Raw genomic sequence first — 10,072 nt, forward strand, 5'->3', positions numbered from 1 at the left:
AGCTCCTCAATTTGGCTAGAGTTGAGGGGGAGCATGAGTTGGAAATAAATCAAACCAGTTGGCTTAGATTGACTGGTCATTTCAGCCCAAATGCTTGATCACTTTGCACTGAGTAGACAGGTTTAGAGAGCTTCCAAAACACAGTTCCCATAGCAACTATACAAAGAAGAAATGGCAATAAGAAGCAGTGCATGTGGAATTTATTTTATCTTTTCTTGCCTGACTTCCTTTTGTCCCATCTCATATTCCCTTAGGCGCTGGCCATCTGGGTATGTTCTTTTTTTCTTAGCAGTTTTCCCCAGGAAAGAACTGTGTTTAAAATGCCCTTTCTTACCTACCTCTGACTGACAGAATGAGATTGTCATTTGCAATTGTGAACTGGAGCCTTTTGTGTCTCTAATGAAATCCTGACTCAAACTGTCCCTGTCCTTCTTGCTTGAACTTCACTGGTTACATTTGCTATAGGATTAGGGAGTTCATTGCAAAAGGGATTAAGATTTTTGCTCTGGGACCTGTTTTGGTGATTTCTTTCTGTAAGGGAACACATCATTTGGCACATAGCAGCTCCTGTAGCTCTGAAAACCTCAAAAATCGAGCCTTGAAGTCTCATTCCACTACTTCCTGCCACCCTTCTTATCACTAACAAGTAGATGATTCAGAACAGTCTATGTTTTGGCAATTTACAGACTGATGTTTAATTCAGCCTCCTTTATTGATCTCTATCTTGATTCAAATGTCCATCTTCTGAACCTTGAAAAATATCTTCATTAGAATTATACTGAGCTTCCTTTTTAAAATAAACACATAACACAACAGAACAGGATGTCTCACCCAAAATTCATTTCATTATGTCTAAAACAATTTATTTCTTCTCATTTTTGAAATCTCTTTCCCTAAGAATTCCCTCTGTTTTCTGTTTCTAATACATGTGTAAAGAGGTTTGCTTGAAGTTGCTTGTTTATCCCCAAATCACAAAAGCAGTTGCAGACTTTCTTAACCATTTCTCTGAGGTTACATGTCAGATTTCCTTAGATTTATATTCAAAGTCTTCTAGAGGTTTATCCCAACTTACCTTTGCAGTTTATACCAAAACAAAAAAGATGTAAAAATCTTTGGCTTCTGTCAAAATGGTCTGTTCACTGGGCCCCCAAGGCACCTTGCCATTTCCAGCTACCTACCTAGCTTTGCTCATGCCATTCCTTTTACCTGGGATAACATCTGTCTTCTTTTAAGCAATTAAAAATTTTCTTTCCCACTCTCTACTTCAATTTCTATCTCTTTTTAAAGCCAATTTTGATCATAAACACACACACTTATTATTACATGCTCCTTGTTTTGGTGTTGGTATTGGCGTGTAATTGCTGTATGAGAAACTGCTGAAAGATCAGTGGCTTAAACAAGCATTCTTAAGCTTAAGCGTCCACAGTTCAATAGTGATTGATTCAACTGATTTAGGATGGGCTCATCTGGGCAGCTCTGCTGCATGCTAAGAGTTAACTGAGATTGGCTCCAGATGAGAAGTTGGGCTCAAATCTGCCCCATGCATGTTTATTTGGGGGCCCAGGTTAAAGGGGCAGTGATTACCTGGGGTATCTTCTCTTGGCAGACCACTGAGTGTGAAAAAAACCAAGCCAAACACACAAATACTCTTAAGGCTTCTGCTCAAATCACATTCACTTTAAGACCAGAGCAAGTTATGTGGCCAAGCCCGAGATCAGCTGGGCATAGAAGTCTACTCTTCCCACAGTGGGAGGAGAAGAATATTTGCTGACCAAGAATGCAAACTCTCATGGAATTCTTCATGTATTGCAATATCCCATTCCCATGTAGATATGCTGCATCCACCTGAATGGATAAGCTTCTGCTTGAAAAGTAGAACTATACTTTATCATTGTGCTCTCCACCCCTAGCACTTATGCCAATGACAGACAGATAGCTGGACCCAAATTAATATTGGTTTATCTGTTATTTTCACAGCATATTTTGGAGCAGTTTTAAGTTCACAGCAAAATTGCGAGGAAAGTACCGAGATTCCCCATAGTCTGTGCCCCCACATTTGTAGCTCCTCCCATTATCAACATCCCCCACCACAGTGGTACGTTTCTTATAACTGCTGGACCTACATTGACACATCATTATAATCCAAACACATAGTTTACATTAGGATTCACACTTAGTGTCGTACATTCTATGGGTTTTTTGACAAATGTTTAATGACATGTATCCACCGTTGTAGTATCAGAGTATTTTCACCACCCTAAATTCCCTGTGCTCTGCCTGTTCATCCTTCTTTATCCATTAGCCACTGGCAACCACTGATCTTTTCATTGCTCTGTAGTTTTGTCTTTTCTGGAATGTCATATAGTTGGAACTATACAGTATATAACCTTTTCAGATCGGCTTCTTTCACTTCGTAATATGCATTTAAGATTCCCTTCATGTCTTTTCATGGCTTGATAGCTCACTCCTTTATAGCACTGAATAATATTCCATTGTCTGGATGTACCACAGTTTATCCATTCACCTGCTGAAGGACATCTCAGTTTCTTCCAAGTTTTAGCAATTATAAATAAAGCTGCTATAAACATTTGTGTGCAGGCTTTTGCATAGACATAAGCCTTCACTTCTTTTGGGTAAATACCAAGGAGCACAATTTCTGGATTGTATGGTAAGAGTATGTTTACTTTTATAAGAAACTGCCAAACTGCCCTCCAAAGTGGCTGTACCATTTTGCATCCCTGACGGCAATGAATGAGATTTCATTGCTCCACATTCTCACCAGCATTTAGTGTTTTCAGTATTCTGGATTTTGGCCATTCTAATAAGTGTAAGGTAATATTTCACTGTTGTTTTGATTTGCATTTCCTTGATAACATGATGTGGAGCATCTTTTCACGTTTGTCACTTGCGGCGTATTATTTTCACCCTTACTATATACCAACAGATAACCCAGCATTAGGTTCCAAGGATGGTCTGGATGAGAGTAGTTCCAAGGGATGCCATCAGTTTGGAGTAAACAATGACTATTTCCACATTCCCAGCCATTTTAAGGCCTATGTAGTGGCACCACTAGGTAGCTGTGGTTAATGAAGATGGACAGGTAAAGGTATCTTTATTTAAATTGTACACTACTGGGTCAGTTTGGAAAACAGAAACACTGAAAGATGGGACCCTGCTCAGAAGTATCTCTAGGAGCCATTCTAGTCTACTCAGGGGCAAAACATCGGTTGTCCATTTTTATTTTTGTAGAAGTAATGACAGCATATTTGATAATAGGCTCCATCTACTTTTGGCAACAACAGCTCTCTTTTTCTTTTTCACTCTGCCTACTCTGTGACATAGATTCCAAGTATCTCTTTGAGAGAATTCTCGAGTGGCTTAATGCAAACTTGCAGTGCCTTTGATGGGCTCTGGCACATGCAGGGCTTCCTTTTGCAGCTGGATTGCTACTCAACATGTGAAAAAAATCCTTCCCAGGACTTTTTTTTTCACAATGAGAATAAAGCAGGGCTGCAGGGGAATTCGCAGCTGAGAAGTATTATAAAAGAGCATGAGCCGGGCCTGGTGGCTCATGCTGTAATCCCAGCACTTTGGGAGGCTGAGGTGGGCAGATCATTTGAGGTCAGGAGTTTGAGACCAGCCTGGCCAATGCAGTAAAATCTCTACTAAAAATATAAAAATTAGCCAGGCATGGTGGTGCAAACCTGTAATCCCAGCTACTTTGGAGGCTGAGGCATGAGAATTGCTTGAGCCCAGGAGGCAGAGGTTGCAGTGAGCTGAGATGGTGCCACTACACTCCAGCCTGGGCAACAGAGCAAGACTCTGTCTCAAAAAAAATAAATAAATAAAAACAAAACAAACAAAAAACATGAGCTTGAAAGTAAGACAGATCTGAGTTTGAATCATAACTCTGCCACTTTCTGACTTTCTGTCCCTGTAACATTGGAAAAATTACTTAACCACTCAGAAATTCAACTCCCTTATCTGAGAACTTGGGATGTTATCTTCAGTAATTAATTCAAAAATCAATAAATATTTATTGATTGTTTACAATACTTGGAAGGGTAGCTGCAAGTACAAGTGAAACAGTGCATATTTTTATGTAAAATATGCTTCATTGATATGAGGTGCTTATATTGCACATCATTTCTCTTATTCCTGACTTCTATTTTTCATTTTTCTGTGTAATCTGAATTTTTGTTTCTTTATTTTTAAATACTTTCAACTTTTAGATTCAGGGAGTACATGTGCAGGTTTGTTACGTGATATATTGCATGATGCTGAGGTTTGGGGTATAACTGATCTTATCACCCAGGTAGTGAGCATAGTACTCGATAGTTTTTCAACACTAGGCCCCCTCCCTCCTTCCCTCCTTTAGTAGTTCCCATGAGCTTGTGTTTTCTTCACTATCCTGCTGTTCTTCTCTGACCAGTTTCTCCATACATTATGATCCTTAATTTCATTGAACATTAAATGAAAATGGCTACTTAACTAGTTAAAATCAGTTCATAGGTATTTATGTGGTGTGTATGTACTGCCCCGAGGCAGTATATACTATAAAGTACATACTAAAAAGTAATACTATAAATCACTATTTCTTTGTGCAATAGGCTAAGAAAGTGCACATTTTTGGAATTTTTTATTTTAGAGAAGAGCAAGCCAAACCTCTCTCCAATTAAGCCATTTTCAGCTAGGGACAATTTTGCTTTCTGCAGCAGACATTTGACAATATCTAGAGACATTTTTTTTATTGTTACCACTTGTTGAAGTGAACGCTATTGGCACCTTACGGGGTGCTACTTCTAGCGGGAAGAGTCTGGGATGCTGCTGCACATCTTACATTGCTCAGGACTGCTCCCTGTCCCACAGTAAAGCATTATATGGCCCAGAATGTCAAGAGTGCCACTATTGAGAAATCCTACAGTCCAACTAGGGAAAAGGGGAGAAGGGGATTCTCTAAGTGAAGAGTGGATTTTGTCAAAAATCTCACTCTTACCTTAAGAATCATGCTGAATCTGGACTTCGTATCTAGTGGTGCTGAACCATTTGGGTAATTTACATTAAGACTGTCTCTAAAAATCCACATGGTTTCAACTGATTAAATAAATGCAAGGAGAAGAGTTTCTCTCTTCTCATTCCTCGTAAATCAAGGTAAGTGACTCAGAATTCATTGGCAGAAATTACTGACAACAATCTTGTTCTCAAGCTGCTGCATAACCTAGAATTTCAAAGCACAGAAACATGGGTTGACAACCAAAACAGAGGCCCTGAGCTGTCCTACATTATACTCCTCACTCAAGCTTTCCCTATATGTTTGAGTCCTTGGCTGCTATTTGGGGAAAGGCCCATACATTATTCTGGCACTGAGGGGTTGAGGTTATTTGCAAAATTCTCCTAGCAGATTGTAAGGACAGCAGGCCTTATCTCTCCACCACCCACCTTAATTCCTCCTCTCCTTTTACCTCTTGCCGGGTAGTCTGAGAAGTCCACCTCTTGTGTTGCAGGTGGCAGCTGACAAAAATGAATTCCTGAATTCAAGTTGATCATGCAGATTTAGGCTTACTCTGTTGGAGGTTGTTTCCAATAACAGCACTTTGCTGAATTACACCAAGTGGGTAGTCAGAAAGTCAACACCAAGGGGGAAGCTAAAGTGGAAACTAGAGGGAGTAATGTTGCAGTATCTGACTGGCTGTTCACAAAATCTGTTTCCTTTTTCTCTCGACTACATTTCCTAGTCTCCTTGCAGTGAGGTGTGACCACATGGAAGGCCAGTGGAACGTGTAAGTAAATGATATTTGCCACTTCAGCCTGGACCCATAAAAACTTCCCACACATCTGCCAAATGGATGTGGAGGCTTAGGGCAATCTTGAATATGTTGAGGACAGCAGATCTCCCTCCTCCCTTAAGTAATATGATAGCCATGGTATGAGAAGCAAGACCATATCCAGAGACCTGAATAGAAGAAGGTTGGGGACGAGAGAAGTCAGCTAACAGGCAGCAGGGGAGAAGCATGTGCAAAGTGGCAGTGATGACTATGAAAAGGGGGGTTTATCTGACTTTTACTAACCAGGCATTACTTGCAGGGAAGCTCTCACCCTGGCTGCATCTCGCAGGTGCTATCCAGTTTCTGGACAATGATTTTGGACAGCCAAAGAGACATTTGATTAAACCCATGGGATTAGAGAGTAATTATGCATAAGTCACTGTGATGAAAAGCACAGCCCTCACTCTGACAGATCTGCCTGGAGAGTCAGTTGTCAGAGGTGGACAATTTCACTCTAGAACACCATTAATGTCTTTTTTCTCTCCATACATTCTGGCCAATTATTTTTCCTTCATTATGCTCCCTAGGGTAAAAAGAAAGTCTTTTTTTTCTTTTTTTTAAACAAATGTATACTGATAGCAAAAACAAACAACTGTATCCTGAACTTTCCATTACAAGCACCCTTAGGTTTTAATTAAGATCGAGTCTTTTTTTCCCACCTCAAACATGGTTTTCCTGAGCAGCACAGGTGGCCACAGAAATCACTTGGAAATGGCCTTGGAACTTGTTTAATGTCACTGCCTAATCACTTTGCTAAATGTCACTGATTCAAAGCATTAATTTTTATCTTAAGTTTCTACCCCGGTTCTCTTTCCTTCCATGTAGGACACCCTCAACATATCTGCATGGAAGAACAAAATCTTCTGCTTGATTTTATTCCTCTTTTTTTTTTTTCTAGGATTGTGAGAAGGACTCCAGGCAGGGTAGTTTCTGTTTCAATAAGGAATGTTGTAATGTATGACAAGTAAGCTTCCTTTTAATGCTGATAATTAGGGTTTTACACGTCTTTATATCTCTTCCAGATTCCTGCAAATTTGGCAAGACAGCTTTCACCTTGACCCTGTATTCCAGACCTGTTGAGATGCCCAAGGGTATAGACAGAACTCAGTTTTCTCAAAATGTTTCAAGAGCACAATTCTTAGTTCTTTCCCCCATCTTCAGCTCTTTACCTGAATTTTATTCCATACTCATTTTCTCCAGTTGGTTGATAAGCAAATAATGGTAATACATTTTAAATATATTCTAAATAAACCACATAAAAGCACAACGTAACTCACCTTTGTGGCCTAAGCATGAAGGAACAGTGCAGATGAAGGTAAATGGAAGGAGACATATGTGAGAAAAGGGCATGGGAACTGAATCTGCCCATTTTACCTCAGGAGTTAACCAGCACTGGGTTAAATACCCTTCCTCTTTCTTCACCTTGCTCTCCTTTTGAAACTGTGGTTTAACGTAATGAAACACCTTCTCTTTCTCATATTACTTTTGGTAAAATGAGTCTTTTTATTTAATAGTGTTGAATAAGAATTGCGAGCCTCAGAGAGAAGAGAAAATGAGGGCTACTTCACACAGTGGACAACAACCAGTCTTTACTCAGCAAGCATCAACACTGCCAGTCTCTGTGACTCAGCGATGGAAGAGTTCCTGCTTCTCTGAGAGCTCCTAGTCCAATAGTAGGAATGGGCATATTAATACATTATTATAGCAAGTATAAATACCTTTATACTTCATCTAGGAAGGTGAGCAAGACACCAAGGAACCAAAAAGGAAAGTGTTGTAACCCATGGAAAAACTGAAGAAGGCTTTTTAGAAGAGGAAGCACTTCTTTCACTTGATTTTTACATAACAAATAGTGCAGTTAACCCAGTGGGGGAGAATGCAAAAGAAGCTATTTGGCGGGGGCATGATGAGTTTAAATTGGTTGTAGGCTGTACAGGCCTTGTGTTCAGGATCTATAATAGACTATATAGAAATAGATTTGAGCACCTATGATATATAGTAGTTAGGGCCATGGAAGTAAGTTTTTCCAGGAGGAGTATACACAAAGCTAAAGAATGAGGCAGATGAATGGTGGGAGAAATCTGGCATATAGGATGTCCCCAGTAAACATTTGTTGCATAAGTGAATGAATGAATGAACAAACCTGGGAAGTGTGTTGAAAAGGAGTAACCCAAAGATAGCCAGAAAAGCAGCAGAGAATAAAATAAAGACAGATTTCAAGAAGGATGATTGTGGCCGGGAGCAGTGGTCACGCCTGTAATCCCAGCACTTTGGGAGGCCGAGGCGGGTGGATCACGAGGTCAGGAGATCGAGACCATCCTGGCTAACACGGTGAAACCCCACCTCTACTAAAAATACAAAAAATTAGCTGGGCGTGGTGGCGGGCGCCTGTAGTCCCAGCTACTGGGGAGGCTGAGGCAGGAGAATGGCGTGAACCTGGGAGGCGGAACTTGCAGTGAGCCCAGATCGCGCCACTGCACTCCAGCCTGGGTGACAGCGAGACTCCGTCTCAAAAAAAAAAAAAAAAAAAAAGAAGGATGATTGTAAATAGCATTAAAAACTGAAGAGAGACCAAATAAGATGAACATATTGTTCAACTGGACTGAAATGTGTGTATTACATTCACCTATCAGAGGACTATTAACAATCTACATTTTATATTATGGAAAACCTTAGGTGCATTTTTAGTTCTATAAAATCCTGGAGATTCTGACCAATGCAATAAGATAAGAAATCAGAAGCATAAACACTGGAAAGGCAGAGAAAACATTACATTATTTGTAGATGATTTCAATAGAAACCTAGGAAATCAGCAAAATATTAGACTAATAAAAGATTTTAGCAAAGTTCCTGGCAAGATTAACAGTAGCATTTTCTATACCAATTAACAATAACCAACTAAAAATGTAATATAAAATAGATACCAATTAAAATTGAGGAAAATCTATAAAAATACCTAGTAATAAATTATCCACAAAACTCATGGGAATTTAAAAAATATTATGGTGAAAATGAAGAAGCCTTTTTTGAGGGAGTATGATAAACTTATTCTAAAGTTTATATGGAGAAATAAAGTCCCTGTATACTAAAGAAATGTTTTGATAAAGCAAGAAGATCAAGAAGGGTAGACTTGGCCTACCAAATACTAAGAAATATTACAAAATCATAATAACTAAACCAGCAAGTTACTGGTGAAGCTGCAAATACATAGACCAATAGAACATAGTAGAGGCCAGAAACAGGTACAATTTGTAGAAGAATTTTCTATAAGGTAGAGGTGATGTTACAAATCAGTGGAAAAAGGCAATTACAGAAGGGGAAATTAAAATGACTCCTAAGTGTATGAAGAGGTGCTCCATCTAACTGGTAATCAGAAACTGAAACTGGGTGTAGTGGCTCAGGCCTGTAATCCCAACACTTTTGAGAATCTGAGGTGTGACAATTGCTTGAGCCCAGGAGTTTGAGACCAGCCTAGGCAGCATAGGGAGACCCCCGTCTCTACAAATAAAAATAAATATACCTGGTAATCAGAGAAATGTAAATTAAAGCAACAGTGAACTAAAGAGAAAGCATATCACTACAAAAAAAAAATCAATGAAACTCAAAGGAATACAGCAGGAAATGAAGAGAGGAACCAAAGAACTACAAAACAGAGAGAAAACAATGAACAAAATAGCTACAGTAAGTCCTTCCCTGTCAATAATTACTTTAAACATAGAGGGATTAAACTCCCTAATCCAAAGACAGAGCATAGTACAAAAACAAAAATGAGACCCAACTCCTTGCTGTCTGTAAGAAATTCACTTTAAATTTAAGGACAGTCTGAAAGTGAAAGGATGAAAAAAGATATTCTGTGCAAATGATAACCAAAAGAGAACAGGGGTAGCTATACTTACAGCAGGAAAAATTTAAGTGATTTATAGATTCAGTGCTACCCCCATAAAAATCCCAATGACATTTTTAAATCAAAAACTGTTACAAGAGGTGAAGATATATAATAATGAAAGGATAAATTCATCAGAAAGTAATGTAGTTATAAATAGGTGTATATCTATCTATCTATCTATCTATCTATCTATCTATCTATCTATCTATCTATCTAACATCAGAGCACCTAAAGATACACTGACAAACATCAAACACTGAGAGGGAGAAATGGAAAGTGGCTGGGCGAGGTGGCTCACACTTGTAATCTCAGCACTTTGGAAGGCCTAGGCGGGTGGATCACCTGAGGTCAACGAGTTTGA

At 39.2% G+C, this 10,072-nt stretch overlaps 1 annotated feature.

The window, feature by feature from the left end:
• Nucleotides 7,318-7,911: an enhancer, noted in NCBI's record as "OCT4-NANOG hESC enhancer chr11:109261364-109261957 (GRCh37/hg19 assembly coordinates)". NCBI's record gives its function as "activates a minimal SCP1, AML or CMV promoter by ChIP-STARR-seq in primed H9 embryonic stem cells {active_cell/tissue: H9 hESC(primed)}" and the evidence as "EXISTENCE:reporter gene assay evidence [ECO:0000049][PMID:30033119]".

Source organism: Homo sapiens, chromosome 11 (assembly GCF_000001405.40).
Source record: "Homo sapiens chromosome 11, GRCh38.p14 Primary Assembly".
NCBI lineage: Eukaryota > Metazoa > Chordata > Mammalia > Primates > Hominidae > Homo > Homo sapiens.